The sequence below is a fragment of the Homo sapiens genome, chromosome 10 (genome assembly GCF_000001405.40).
Source record: "Homo sapiens chromosome 10, GRCh38.p14 Primary Assembly".
In the NCBI taxonomy this organism is placed as follows: domain Eukaryota; kingdom Metazoa; phylum Chordata; class Mammalia; order Primates; family Hominidae; genus Homo; species Homo sapiens.
The window spans coordinates 1,678,666-1,694,386 of record NC_000010.11 but is presented as its reverse complement, the minus strand read 5'-3'; the positions used below and the strand labels follow the sequence as shown (position 1 = coordinate 1,694,386).

Below are 15,721 nucleotides of genomic sequence, written 5' to 3'. Positions count from 1 at the left end.
ACCCTCAGAAGAGATTGTCTTCTACCTGACAGTTTGCAAGGCAATGGATTAGCTAAATAGCACATTACTCCAATTAATATATGAAACAATTTGCTATTTTAAGCATGAATTTCAAAAACTTTGAATTTCACAGCAAGATGTGATGCTTAATCAATATTTCTGTGTAGAGAATGCTTGTAGTAAAACCGTACAGAATATGGTTTGAGAAATACTCTTTGGAATTAAATCTGAACAAAATAATAACTGCTCTAATAATAATCAAAAGAACCAGAAAAATTACATGATGAAAACCCAAACAAGATACATAACATCAGATTAAAATATTAAAGGCTCCAAGAAGTCGATTACTAGAGAAAGATTTAAGTTTTACTGAGGCTTTTTGGCTAAAGAATCATTTCTCTGTGCAATGTCCCCTGCCATTCCAAGGAACTAGTGTTCCGTGGTACACACTTTGGGAAACCCTGTGGGGTGGACCAGGATTCCTGTATGACCAGCCTGCCCATCTGCAAGAGACACTATACAATGCCCTAATTGATTATTTAAAGGAAATTTCAATAAATCATTATTTTTCTTATGTTTCCTCAATATAACTACCATAGAAATTTGAAGTAATTTTTCTTTTAATTTAACCTTTTCTCTAGTTTGCTTCTGCAGTGACAGTCTTAGGTTAGTATTATAAACAAGGCAATATCACTATATTGAAGCTGACACATTTGTAGCCATGGTTGGAAGAGTCAAATATATTAAAGAATGAATGAATTTCAGTATCCTTTATAAGAATTTTATCATCTGTGAGTTTGCCATTAACTTCTTTTGGAAAACAATATCACAGGTCGTTTTGAAAAGAAGTAATTCTAAATTATATCCAATAGGAAAAATAATTTATTTTGTATCTCAGATTATTATTTTGAGTTATATTTTTATCCTTTTACTATATGAGGACGATGACAAAAACGAGAGAGGAGAAGATGACAGCGCTCCAGGTGGTGGCTTGGGGTCCTGTTTTGCAGTCTCCAGGTCTTCTTACCCACATTGACCATCACACAACAGCCTAGTGGTTTGCCCTCAAGGCTAGACATGGCGGCCTTGACAAGCCCTAATCTCCCCAGACTCAGATTGTTCATGTGGAAAATGAAGCGCTGAGTAGGGATTGTTGCCAAGGCCCCTTGCAGGTCAGAAACCCCAGGCTTTTACTCTCCCCGGAGCCCTCACAGCCTTCAACAGTAGACAAAGCCATTTGTTCCATAATTAGAGATAAAAGGCTTAGAAACACCTGAGGGAGTTGGCTCACGGGTGCTGATGAGTTCCACCACGTATAAGTGATGACATCAAATCCTTCCTTCTGGAGAGGGAAGAGACTTCCAAAAACTCCAGGCTTCAGGACTAGCACCTGGAGGGTGGGGAGGTCCAGTATAGGTTAGAGGCTGCATGAGGAACAGGAGTTATGAAAGCCAGCTCTGTGAGCCCAGAAGTTTGTGGATGAATAACTCTGCAAGTCTTATCAAACATGCTAACTAAAATAGTCTAACATAGAACCTTGAGATCAAAAGACTTCAATTCTGTCCTGGCTGCACCTTAGCACATATTTTGACCGTTCTTATTCTGACAGTCCACTGTTTTGTTATCCATGGCATTCATTCATTCATTAATGTATTTATTGTTTTTAAAAAAAATGTTTGTAGCCCTTCAGGAGCCAAGCAGAGAAGGTGTTTACTTTAGACAGGCCTTGTTAGCAGTCCAGTTAATTATGAACGTATAAAGCATCTGACAGGTGGATTGGACCTCCAATTCCTCCCCTTCACTGGCTGTCACTACTGAATGAGGAAACACTCCTGCTCCGTAGTCTGCCAGCCTTTTCCTAACATTCTATGCCTTGAGCAAAAACTATCCCTGCTGAATTTGGGACAGTGGACTCAATCCTATGGAAACCCCTGCTTGTCCACAAAGGCTGAATCTAAAAGTGGCCCAAGAACAGATGACTCCATGGACTCAGGCTCCCGGTGACGGCCTCCCCAGCTAACCTTGTCTGAATCCCCTTCAAACCACTTCCTGCTTTCCGAGCTTCTGGGGGCATTTAAACAAATACAAGGAGGAAACTCCTGCACAAATTAAACCAATGTCACAGGTTTAGGAAAGCTTCATTAGAAGGAAAAAATGCTCTACTGAGAATTTTAAATGTCCATGTGATGCTTTTAGGTGATAGCTCTGAATTCTAACCTCTAATCCTCAGACACTTGCTGTTGCTCCTGATGACAGAAATGTTCACTGCAGTTTTACTACTGAACACACAATGGGATTCAGACCCGTTCAGTAAGAAAATTCTGTTTATTGAGCCCTAAAGGTATGCCAGGCACTGTGCTGTGCATCAGGAGACAGCAGCGAGCGCTGAAGACACACTTTCCTTTGAAACTTAATGTTTTTTAAAATGGTGGACATTAATCCAGTAGTAGATACATGCATGCGTGCACACACACACACACACACACATTTAGTAATGACCTGGAGGCTGAGAGAGCACAGGTGACTGAGATCAGGCAGCAGCAACAGCTGCCCTATCTGGAGGGGACAGAAGTGGAATCAGGGCTAATATCTGAGCAAGACAGAGGGATGATTATGGCTCTGAGTGGGATGTGGTGGGAGGTGGTGCGGGACGAACCAGAGCAAGCAGTTGAGCCAGCCCCAGTGAGCACACAGGGAGCCATGTGTGGCCTGAAATGATTCTAGGAGCCACAGTGAAAAGGAAAAGTACGTGAAGTTGGTGTGAACAGTACATTCTATTTAGCCCAGTAAACAGTAGATGCAATTGTTACCCCTTCAACATGTAGTCAGCATTAAACATCACAGGTGAGATGTGCTGTGCATGTCATGGAGTGTGTCCTAGCCTGTAGCCAGCAGTCTCTGCTTGGATGTCATAGGTCCAAGTGCAGAGAAGAAGGACATAGACTCTGAGACACAAGAAATGAGTTCCAGGAGTAAAAAACCATTGTATTCATTTTCTGGGGCTGTCATAACAAAAGACCACAGACCAGGCAGCTTAACCAATGCAAATGCATTTTCTCACAGTCCTGGAGGCTGGAAGTCCAAGGTCAAAATGTCATCAGGGTTGGTTTCTCCTGAGGCCTCTCTCCTTGGCTTGTAGAGGGTGTCTTCTCCCTGTGTCCTCACAGGATCATCCCTCTGTGCATGTCTGTGCCCCAATCTCCTCTTCTTATCAGGACCCAAGTCCTATTGGATGAAGCCCCACCTCAGCCACCTCAGTTTAACTTAATTGCCTCTTTGAAGGTGGTATGTCCAAATACAGTCCCTTCTGAGGTCCTGGGGATTAGGGATTCAGCATGGGAATTTGGGGGGACACCATTCAGCCCATAATAGCAGAGGGGTTGGGTCACCCGCACCCAGAAGGAAAGGGGCACAGCGTGGGGTTGAGAGGCAGGCAGGGGCAAACCTGCCTGGCGTCATCAGACTGCCGGGCACAGGGATAGATGCGCGTTTTGATGAGACCCGCGGTGGTCCCCGGAGAAAGGACTGTCAAGGTGCAAGAGTAGGGAGGAGGATCGGGGAGACCCGGCCAAGCCGAATGACAGTGTGCATGCAGGCTGGGGAGGGGGTGACAGGAAGGGCCGGCCCAGAGGGATCGGATCATGGAAGACATCCACGGGGTGCAGTCAGCAGGCCTTGGGCTTCCTCGACGTGGGGTGTGCAAAGCAGGGCAGTGCTCCACTGAGCATGGGGACAGGAAGGAGCAAGGAGGAGAGCAGGGGCTGCCTTCCTTTCCCTCCTATCTGCCTTTCTCTCCTTCCAGTTATTTTTCACCAGCCCTCAAGAACCCCTTGCACTGTAGAAGGACTGGCAACGAGTAATCACCTCTGGAATTCTGATGCCTGTCACTGCATCATTACAAGTATTCAGAGCTCCACGGCTCTCTGCTTGGGACCCCACACTCACCACCCTGTCTGACCAAATGCAGAGTTTTTATTTCTTAACACAAAAGCTTTGGATCAGCAATTCTACACCCACACACGACAACTTGTATTTAATATCTGGAAGCAGATATGTCATAAGTTGCTAACATCCAAAACGGCTTGTTCACATTTAATTAGGTATCAAAACAATACTTTCTGGTACTGTGTCTTGTGCAAGAAAATATCATTAAACTTCAGCTGAGCATGTGCTCCTACGAGCTGAGAAACAAGCTGCACAGCCCTGTGGCATTAGCTGCAAATTCGCAATGGAAATTAATCTCTCATTTCACTTGGCTTTTTTATAGTGGCTTTTGACCAAGAATAGCTATCACCTTAATGTGCAATGCTTTCTTTTCTTCCCATAGCAATTTATTGATGTTAGCAAAGACTTCGGTGAGCAGTCTTGGCAAAAACAAACAAAAACAAACAAAAAACAAAAACAAAAAAACCCCACATTTCTTTCTTTCTGAAATCATTGTTTCTTTAATAGTGGAGTCATCAATTGTACGATTTTTTAAATTTCTCAGAGATGAAAATAGAGACCCCTACGTAACTGTAGAGGGGACTGTTATTTGGCGAGCAATCTAACATCATCAAAATCTGAAATCCATGTATCTCTAGCCCAACAAGTCCATCTTAGCAAATGGCTCATATATTTGCACACATATGCGTATAGGCAGCAAATTAGATTTTGAATAAGGATGTTTATTGCAGTATTTCTTGAGAGCAAAAGCCTGCTGTGGACAGCCTGAACACCCATCAAGTTAGGTGAACTGCAGGGCACCATCACAATGGAATATTTTATGTCCACACAAAACAATAGGCAGGTCTATGAGGTGGGATGCTCTCTAGGAAGTGTTGTTGAGGGTATTGTGGTGATGTCTGTTTATTCAAATATCGCATGAATACAGATGCCCCTATGTGTGTAAAGAACCCCAGAGAGGGACACACAGACATTATTGAACTTGGGTCTGGGTGAAGGGGTACTGTGGAGTCCTAATTAGGGAAAACAAGTCAGGTTGGCAGGACCAAGGAAAAGAAACAGAGGAAGCAGATAAGCTCTAAGTCTGCCTCTCTTCATGGTCCAGGGCACGTAGCCCTCCTGTGCAGGTAACTCACCTACAATCTTCCTGTGCCTAATTTATCATCAAACAATTCAACGTCTCATCAAATGCCTCAGCTGATAGAAAAATGCAAGTTAGCTCACTGCAACCTGGGCATTATCAGTACTTCCCTCTCCAGCACAAGCACCATCCTATAAAATCCCCAGCAAGCCTTCATCTCCTGGCAGCCAGTTCCTCTCTTGCTGCCCTGCCCATTGCTTTCTTGCAGCATATTTTCCTACTTTCTCTAACAAATCTGCCTTTCTTTGCTGGCACCTGTCTTGGGAAATTCTTCTTACCCCTGCATCACCAGCCTCAGATAGTCACTGATCACCTGCAAAATGTACTGAGGAAGTAACATGACTTATTTTCCAATATATATAATTGTATTCTTTGTGAAAATGTTTTTTGGTTTGTAATCATTACTACTTTTTTACGTTAAAATGTTTGGAAAGAGCTCTCTGTCTCTCAGCTTAGGTAACAGAAGTAGAAAAACCAAGAAGGTGTATAAAAAGGCTTTGTGATGTCAGTGATGAGACAGGGTCAGGGTTGAGTCAGCGCTAACGTAAGTCACCATTCCCCTCTCAAACTGAGCCAGTACAGTAGGAGTTCCCTTTACGTTTAATGAGCAATCACCCTCAGTTATCTTTTTATTTTTTGCAGGAGGGGGTTGGATGAGATGTTGAGTGTGTGTGACATGACAGTCAGAAGGCCAGGCGGGGGGCGGGGAGGGACCCCGCTGGGCTGCTGCTTTCCTGCCACAGTGATGTTTTCAAGCCACCAATGTACCTTCCATTTCCATTGGTGCAGATCTCAGTGAGAAATGCACCTGCCCTCGGAGCCATCCCTGAGTGTTGTCTGGGGGAATATGGCAGCTCAGGGTCTCCAGCCCTTCACTGCCCATCCCAAGGTCTGGAGCTTGGAATGGGACCCACATGAACCGGGTCAGGGAACAGCAGGGGAGGTCAGGGCAGCAACGAGGATGTCCCCAACTCTGCCCACCCATGCCCAAGGCTGCAGCTCCCACTGGGGTCCCAGCCCTGGCCAAGGGTGCAGCCAGGCTGAGTGCACCATGAGGTGTGAGGCTGACAGTGGGACAGGGTGGTCAGAAGAGCCCACAGGCTTCACTGGGACTCAACCCCCCAGGTCCCCACTGGCTGTTTATGTCCAAAAATACGAATCAGCACAGTGACTCCCTCACATCCTGCTGCCCAGACAATGGGACAACACGAAGGCTTCTTTTTGGTTATATTGTTTTACTTAAAATAATTGTGTTTTGAGGCATTCCTTTACCCTATATTTGAGGAGAAATGATATTATAAGCAAAGTGCCATCTGCTCAGAGCCTTTAAAAGTAGGCTGTGAATCCAACGGCATATGTGACAAGCAAACATTTCAACTGCTCCGTTTAGAACTGTCACTGTATACGCACTGGCAACTTTAATATTTTCCTCTTCAAGCTTCATTAATCTGGAAAGGAGTGGAGGCACATGGTGGGTGGTTTTCCCCCCCGGCCAGCAAGGGTGTGACTCCTGTGGCACCTGAGCCCCCTCCTGCCCGGCCCTGAATCCTCATCACAATTCACGGCTGAGCTGTCTCCAGCCTTGGACCCGGGGGTCTTTATACTCTTGGCAGGAAAATCCTTGTCCTCAATTTTTTTTTTTTGCAGAAAAAAATATGATTATTTAAATAATTTAATGCGTTTGCACTATTAAAAATTTATTTTTGAATCTAATGCATAACTTTAATCTCTTATAAAATCAATCAAAGAGAATAATGAGGCTGTCTTGGTGGTGCCAAAGTTTAAGTCTGAGAATTTTGGATCGCAGCTTTATTATTATGTTAGCTTTGAGATCCAATCAAGTCCCAAAGATAGCTGTGTAAGAATATGCAAATAGTGGCCATATTTACGAGATGACTCACAATTCAGGAAACTCTTCCTTTACTTAGGCAGGGAGGAGAAGCCACCTCTGGAGTCCCTGTGACAGAAATGTCACGCCTGGGCGTGGTGGCTCACAGCTGTAATCCCAGCACTTTGGGAGGCTGAGGTGGGTGGATCACTTGAGTTCAGGAGTTTGAGACCAGCCTGGACAACATGGTGAAACTCCGTTTCTGCTAAAAATACAAAAATCAGCTAGGTGTGTTGGCACATACCTGAATCCCAGCTACTAGGGAGGCTGAGGCAGGAGAATCGCTTGAACCCAGGAGGCAGAGGTTGCAATGAGAGGAGATCATGCCACTGCACTCCAGCCTGGGTGACAGAGCGAGACTTGTCAAAAAAAAAAAAAAAAAAGGCAATGTCATGACCCATGGGAGGCAAGAGGGACTCAGGCTCTCAGTGTGCTGACTGCAGCTGGGAAGTAGGCCATAGGATACAAATAACGTGTTAAAAAAAATGTAATTTCTTCATTTTAGACTTTGATCACAATTAGTTAGCTGAAACTTTCACGTGTCAAAGTTCAACATATTTATTGTTTGGAATGATCATTTGCTAGAGAAATCAACAATAAACATTTGTTAATGTTAATATGATACTTATAATAGTATCCTTAATTAACATAAGTGATATCATATTATTCTTGTGCCCACCACATAAAACGGTCTAAGACAGAGCCTTTGACCTTAAAGTGTCTACAACTTAATTAGCAAAATAATGCTTGCAGAGAGAGACAAGCCAGGGTGCACCATGGCATCAGCTAATTGTGTGCCGGAAGCCCAGCGGGTTCACAGTCCCGTACGTTTCCTTACTCATGTGACGAGGGAACGTTCGGCTACTCCTGGAAGATTGATGGGCTCCATCAGCAATCCACAGCCTTGTTTCTTATCACGCAACCACCATTAGACCTTCCCCTACTTTCACACAAATTAACTGCTCATCAGTTTCCTGATTGCAAGAGCTTGCGGCAGCTGTAGTTTTCAAGGTATGCTTCCTTCAAACCTATTTGGTTCTCACTCTCCCAGCACATGATCCTGTCCTTGTTCGACTCAATTGATTCATTCCAACCAGTTTATGACCGAGCCATTCATTTCATTTAACCGCCGGCCCAAGCCACAGAGAACCCCCGCCGAGGCCTTGGCCCATCCCCTGCCCCTGCAGATCGATGGCCCAGCTATCAGCACCGCCCTGAAATTAAAGTGCTGCTTCCCCTAACCAGCCTCCATGGGTTTCTGTTTTTGTTTTTGTAGAGACTTTTTGAAGAAGCAGGTGAAAAGCCTAATAGCCCTCAAATACCAAGATTTATTTCACTTGGAAGTGTTTATCCTCTCAGGCCTGATTCAATTTAAAAGGAAAAGAATGGGAAACAGATTAACAGAAGCCAGTCCGGGAAGGCTGAGCCACTGGAGTGGGTGTGGGAGTGTCCAAGCCAGGCAGAGTCCACATTGCAGCCCATCCGTCCCGGGCAGAGGCCACCCAGCCACGTCCGCCCTGCACATACTCAGCCTCCCCCACTGGAGGGCTGAAGTCCTTGTTCCCCCAGCCCAGCCCCATGGGGCACAAGTGCTGGCTGCATTTTCCATGATGATCTCCATCAGGACCTTGATTCCAGCCAGGAGAGGTCTGGGCAGGACCCTTGGGGTGTCTTCATTTCTTTAAAGACGTGCTGAGAAACATCTGAGTCCCTCCTGCGTCGCCTCCCTTTTCTCTGTTGACTTTGTGCTGTATGCAAAGTGAGAAAGGTCAGTCCACATTTTAATGTAGTAAGCAAAAACCTAACAATGGCTTTGAGTTATTTCTTACATTCCATTTTATGAGGGAATGAGAATTTATAGAATTTTGTTCCAGAGAAAATTCTAAATTTTCCCAAGGATTCAGCACCTTTACAAATATATTATTTCACTCTGTGATGGATTCGGTACCTGCCTGTTATTTAGAATTCCATGTGTCAGGTACAAGGCACAGGAAAGAGAAGAAGGGGGAAAGGTGAAGCTGTACCCATGAAATCGCATGTATGGAGTCATTCGTGTTGCTCGGTGCTGAGGATTGACTTTGTCACCCAGGGAGTCAAGTTGATCTTGGTGTGCTCATTCAGGTGGCCGCTGTGTCTCTGTCCTTCTTTCTCTGTCTCTATCTTCCTCACAGGCACACATTCACACAAACTCACACACACACTCACGCACTCACCAACACACATGCTCACACAGCTCGCACCCCGGGCTGCTGGCTGGCAGACATGCCCTGCTCATAGAAAGAGAATCTGGCTTCATTCCTTAAACTGCATTACTGCTGGCCCTCCAGACTCGACATGGTCCTGTCCGGTCTTCTCCCTCCTCCTCATCCCACAGTCCCCACCCACCCATGAGCAAGGATGACAACCCACACTCAGAACTCACACTATCCTTGGCTTCTGGGTCCACTCTGACCACCCACTCATGAGCATGGATGAGGCCCCCACTCGGAACTTGCACTATCCTTGGCTTCCAGGTCCTCTCTGACTTCCCACCTGTGAGCACAGACAAGGATAAGAACCCACACTCAGAACTCACGCATTCCTGAGCTTCTGGGTTTGCTCTGCTGCCCATTTATGAAGCATTTCCATCGCAACTTTTCAAACTGCAAAATCTTTTGGTGAAATCAGCTTTTCCCGTTTGCCAGAACCTGACCTGTCTCAGCACCATTTAATAATTAAAAATAAAACAACAGTTTGGGGTTTACAAAATAATCAAAATGAAGGGCTCAGAGTGGCTAAAAAGTGGTTAAAACACTATTGCCATTTGGTGAGACATATAAACCTTTAGTTAAGGGACAAGAGAAAAAGGAAATCTAGAACTTTCTACAATCCAGTTAGACAGAAATATCTTAAGAAAAGTGCCCCATTCATTCTTTCTGTTTGAAAAGTTCCAGGGACTATTATTATGTTATTCCAGATATAGAGAATATATATGTGTGTGTGTGCATACAGAAATACATTTTTCACCACAAAGTTTTAACTTTGAATCTTATAACAAACACTTCACATTCTATGTTTCTCTGAGTTCTGAAAAAAAAGTGTTTTTAGGTTTTCGTACAGGCCCTGGAAGTTTGAATGCATTAAGAAAACATTTAGTAGCTAAGAAAGATGTCTTTAGTTTTTCCACCATCTTCTCAGAAAACTTCTCTAAGAAAGAAGTCTGTTTTTCTGTCATGGATTTCAGAGGAACGTTATTTTGGACTTAACACCTTGGAGTCTATAGATGGAGTTTTCTTCTGTGCTTTGAAGGATCACTCCATAGTTTGCTTCTCCTATTTAAATTCGTTAAGATGTGCTTTTGAAACGCACTTCACTCCCTGAAGAGGGTCTTATCATTGTCTCATTGTGATCACAGCGCACAGGCATCCACACTAGTGTGGGATCCCGGCTCTTTGGCGGTGGTCTTTCACGCACACCGGAGCCACCCTTTGCACAGTCCTTTTGAGAGGGCACCTTTCGGTGCAGTCTCCTCTGACTCAGGGAGGCTCCGTTTACAGAGTCCACCCCTCACATCCGGCCTCGGACTCAGCCCCACCGCCTTCTTATGTGATTCTTTTCCTTGCCTGCGTTTCTCTGCTCATCCAAACCAAGCTATCATTTCCAAGCTACAATTTCTTCAGAAACAGTCATGATGTCTTTTTCTCTCCTTTCTATCCATCTTGGTATCTCAAAATAAGATCTGTGTGTAAGGCTGACCCACTAAACATTTGCCATGACCCGCTCTGACTCGGCGACAGTTACCTGGTGAGTCTGGTACAAAAACACCAAGTGTTTCTCCACCAGCATCCATTCTGGGCACAAAGACCCAAGCGGATCTGAGGGCAAACAGACTCCACTCCCTGCTTCGGACCCCTTGACCCTGTGCATTGCAGCCTTCAAGGAGTTCACCCAGAAACTGGGAGTTTCTGAACTTTTCATCACTGCAAAATCTTTCGAGCTCACTACTTCTTCTGCCTTTCGAATAAATTAAGAAGTTTTTCATGTGAGTTTGTTTGGTTTTCTTCTTTCCATACCTCGCTTCATCCTTCTAGAGTCATGTTCCCCGAAATGTGCTCAATCAGGTCAGTTGGATTCCTTATGAAGCACATTTTTAAAGTTCTCAGAAATAAGATTTAATTTAGAACCAAGAGATGCCCAAATCCTCGGAAAAGTGAATTGCATCTGGGGTCAGACCTATCTCGGTAGGAATGCTAGCGCTATTTGTTTCTCCCTATGTGAACTCACACAAATATCCCACTGTTCTCCTCTGTGAATGAGAAATCATGTCTATCCCATAAGTAAAGCATGAAAAGCACACAAAACATTGTCTGCAGCAGCATAGTCATCTCTGCTTCCACGCAAATGAAGCTGTGATGAATGACAACGTTCGATAACCACGTGCTTCTTAGCCCACCTCCGCGGTGCTGTGTTACCGCCGGCATTCGGGCTGTGTTTAAAGAGCTGTATCAGGTGTTGGCCTCATGGGCTTTGCGGCCTCTCACTCTCTCATCTGCAGCCCTTGCCACAATGGTACTGAATGCCATGAGAACCCATCTGCCCCTGGCCGTCTGCATTACATACTGATTTAAATATTATTCTGTTTCTGTAAATATGTGCAATTTAAATTTCTTACAGTCACCGTAATGTTCTCAACCCCTTCCCAGGACACGCCTGGCCACGGTGTTGGGGGACCCCTCTGCTCTCTGGTCTTGCTAACGGAGGCTGTGAGTGACACAATGCGTTTGAACCCTGAGAAGCAGTTGAGTGACGCTAACTGCAGTGGGAGATGCAGTTGCCATTCGGAAATTACACCCTGAACCCGGCTTAATCCCAGGTTGCACAGAAAAGAATGGCCAACCGAGGGGATGAAGCAAAGAGACTACCCAATACCCGTGGTCCTTTCGGGTCTCTGGTTTGGGGTCATTTTTGCTTGGTTGGTTGGTTTCTAAGACCGACTTTCAGGGGATACTGGTTTCCTTAAAGTGCAAATGGCTTCCCAGGCAGCTTTCTTCATTTGGCAGATCATCTGGCTGCCATTCCTCTAGGCGAGACCCTCAGTGGCTCTGCAGAAGCATGGGAGGAAACCCGGGAGGGGCACAGACACTGGTCCTTCCTTTGCATCTGAGCTTGTGGATGAGCTGCTGGCTTCGTGCTGAGGCCTCTGGGTCTTCGACGCCCAGTGCTCTCTTATTCCTCCATGTTCTTCCATCTTTGTGGAGCTCTCATTCATGATTTTTGCACCTGACTGACTGCAACTCTTCCCTTCATGAGTCAGGTTAAGTGATTCTGTTTAAGAAAATAGATTTCAAAGCAATTTTAAATATCTCTTTGTGCCAGCACCCAGGGTCTGCATGGCACATAAATATGCGTCTGTTAAAGAAAGAATGTTGTATTCTGGCTGACAGCACCGAAGCTCGGGAATTTCATTTTGCCATGCCCTGCTGTTGCCCCACCTGTCCACACTCAGGTGCCCTCACTCCCTGCATAGATGCACCCTCACACCCTTGAGTCTCTGCGGAGTGTGCTGCACTTTCACCTACGACTCTGTGGCTGGGAGGATTGCTCGCAGGGAGCCACACCAAACACCCGGGCCTCACTGGGTGACGGTATTTGATTGCATGTAAAATGCATGTTATCAGGCCCCATTGTGAAGTTGGACTGGGCTGCTTGAGAGTAGCAGTAGCCCTGTGTGCAGCCACAGGGTCTCTGAGAGCTCTGCTCACTGGAGGATTGCAGAATAGTGGAGCTCTTAGAAACCACAGGACCATGCCCTGCGATCACCTCATTTTACAGGTGGGAAAACCATGACCCTGAGGCCAAACAATTTGCCAGAGTCACATGGATAATTCATTGCAGAGCCAGGACCAGAATCTAGGTGGCCTAATTCCTGGTTTAGGGTTTTTTTTTTTAATATTTTTTAAGCTATATTAGTTTGCCTCTTTAAGTTCTAGACTTTCTCGTCACAGGAAGAAATGGAGTCATAACAGGCCTAACAATATTTTCTTTGAGAACTTTCTTCCACAAGTTGTTGGGAAAAAGGACATTAAGAACCATACCACATGTGTTCTGGTTTAGAATAGACTGCTTCGAGGAAATGAATTTGAGAGAAATGCATTCTGCTCTGCATGGCTTGGACATAAAAATTATTTCATTGCTACTACAAGGTAAACTTTTTCTCCCTGAGCAAAATAAATCAGCTAAAAAAGAGTTGGAGGTGTGTCTGCAGGCGGAGGTAGCTTCTGTAACGAGAAGACTACACTTCATTCCTAAGATGAGGTTGCTGCGTCCTTACATTATTCCTGTCCAGGGGCTGCCTTCAAACCTGACGCTTCCCACTTCTCTCAGGCCCATTTAAGTCATGACTCCAGGGGGGTCCCTAACCCCTTGTTTATAGACACACATCCGTCACTATTGGCGTGAGAATACTGTGTTCTACTACGGAGTTGCCCATTTCTGGCCAGAACAATTAAGATTATTATGGGATCTGATGAGGATTCAGTCCCCTGCTGCAGCCTTCGTAGACTATAAAAGGAGAGTTTTTATTTTTCAAGTGTATGTGTGTGTCCTGAAAACTCACCCCAGGGTCTGGCATGACCCAAACATGCCTGTTACGTTGAGTTACCTCTAGCCAGAAGCCAGCATCAGACATTTTCCCCAAGCACACTCACAGTGAATTATTAAAGCAAAACTGTCCTGAAGATTTGGGAGGAGGTAATAAATGACAGATGAGCCTTTCTCTAATAAAGCTGTAAATATCTTCACTCGCTCCTTCAGTCCCTCAGTGGATGCCCTGTTCTTGGGACTCTTTGGTGGAGAACACTGTGGGAAAATACCCTAGGCTCTGTCTCCACTTCCAAAAGCGCCCACACACACAGATAATGCAGCCTGTGGGAAGTGCATGGCCCGGGAGTCCTGGCAGGTGATGGGGACCAGCCCTGGCTAAGACGATCAGCAGTCTTTACGGAGGACACTGTACTGCCCCCTGTATGTATGTGGGTGGAGAAGGGTGTTGATGGGCAAAGATGGAAGCAGATGAGGGAGGACCCAAAGGTTATTTCAAGCAGGAGAGGAAAAGGAGGAGCTCAGGAACAGAGTATGGATGATGAGAGAATGCTTCAGAATTGGCCAGAACACCAAGCAGTTTGTATGAGTGGTGGATTACACAGGAAAGAATAGGTAGGGCAGTTTGTATGAGTGGCGGATTACACAGGAAAGAATATGTAGGGCAGTTTGTATGAGTGGCGGGTTACACAGGAAAGAATATGTAGGGCAGTTTGTATGAGTGGCGGGTTACACAGGAAAGAATATGTAGGGGAATGGGTGCCAAGCAAACAGGCTGGGGAGGCCTGGGGGAGTGGGGTCGCTGGCCACGGCACTGGAGCACTGCCTGGCAGGTTAAGTGGCTAAGGCTGCTCTGGGCCTGCTGTTGACTGGAGTCTGTGGGAAGGGAGCTTCCTGCCTTTGAACATTTCTAAGGGGGAGAAAGTGCAGCGTGCCAAAGGAATGTCAGCAATGTTAAGAGTGACAACCCACAGACTAAGGAGGAACGGGCTTTTCCAGTCGTCCAGGCAGCAGGCATCCCCTGCACTCAGTTTCCGTGTTGAGCCCAAGCGATCCAGTCGTTGGAACATCTCCTCATTCAACGACAGATCGTGGCACAGTGGCTTAGACGCCGCGTGTGTGTCAGAACAGTCTGCAGCTGTACACTCTGGAAACCGGAGTGCTCCTGGGGGACAGTGCTCTTCATCCTGTAACTGGAGCTCTTCCCACCATGGCCATAATGAGGCATTAACATAAAAACACCTCAATTAGCCAGGTCACATGAAATGAGATTTTAAGGGCCCAGGAGTTGCACCAAGTGGCACCCGATCACCTTGACTGAAATCAGCCATTCGGTCCAGGACAGATTTCAAGCCAAAATAATAGCACAAGGGTAAATCTCTCATTACTAATTCCATTTATGCAAAATTCTAATTAGCTCTGCTTGGAAAGATATGTGTCTGATGAGACAATTCAGGGAGGGAAATAGAGACTCCTTGGCTATTGTGGTGCCCGGCACAGGATCTCCTCTAAATAGGGTGCCCACATTATTTATCACCCAAACCAGGACACTCGGAAAAGTGAGAGAGGGCACTATTAATAATGAGGCCAGGATAGTCCCCAGCTGCTGGAATGTGTGGTCGCCCCTCCAAGGATGAAGGAGAGGGCAGCTCCTCGATGCCTTTTCTCTCTCCACAGCTGGGTTATCTTCGGAAAGATGAAACACCAACTGCCCCATATTTGCTGTTTAAAGCTGCCTCTCTGGAAATGGGGCCCAGGGCCTGCACTTCTTATTGTGAGAATTGCCCCAAATCGTGACTGATGGAAGCTGATGGGAAAGGACAGGAGAACTCACTCGCTCATGTCTGCATCCAGTGGGCATTGGCCTGAATGCCCGTGAGGGAGCCAGCACCACCTCTAGCCACGTGGGCACCTGTACTCTCTCCTCCTCTGTGCTAGGACATGTCTTACCTGGTGGGCAAGACAACCCCAGGCAGCAGGGTCCAGGAGGGACAAGTGCCCGGGAGAGGGGGCTTGGTGGAGAAACGAAAGCAGCTTCTCGGTGTTGGAACAGCCGAGATGTGGAAGGGAAGGGGCCACACTTACTGCCCAGCTGCACCTCGGGCAAACTCCACAGTGGAGTTACCTGCAAGCAAAGGTGCTCTCCTAAAAAGAACTGGGCCCCTGGC

At 46.0% G+C, this 15,721-nt stretch overlaps 1 protein-coding gene across 1 annotated transcript in view, besides 2 other annotated features; it reads left to right on the top strand.

Moving 5' to 3' along the window:
* ADARB2 (adenosine deaminase RNA specific B2 (inactive)) overlaps positions 1-15,721 on the top strand; it is a 560,213-nt gene that overhangs the window by 43,139 nt on the left and 501,353 nt on the right. The gene's annotated exons all lie outside the window — the stretch shown is intronic.
* Positions 13,974-14,474: an enhancer, noted in NCBI's record as "H3K4me1 hESC enhancer chr10:1722107-1722607 (GRCh37/hg19 assembly coordinates)". NCBI's record gives its function as "activates a minimal SCP1, AML or CMV promoter by ChIP-STARR-seq in naive H9 embryonic stem cells {active_cell/tissue: H9 hESC(naive)}" and the evidence as "EXISTENCE:reporter gene assay evidence [ECO:0000049][PMID:30033119]".
* Positions 14,475-14,975: an enhancer, noted in NCBI's record as "H3K4me1 hESC enhancer chr10:1721606-1722106 (GRCh37/hg19 assembly coordinates)". NCBI's record gives its function as "activates a minimal SCP1, AML or CMV promoter by ChIP-STARR-seq in naive H9 embryonic stem cells {active_cell/tissue: H9 hESC(naive)}" and the evidence as "EXISTENCE:reporter gene assay evidence [ECO:0000049][PMID:30033119]".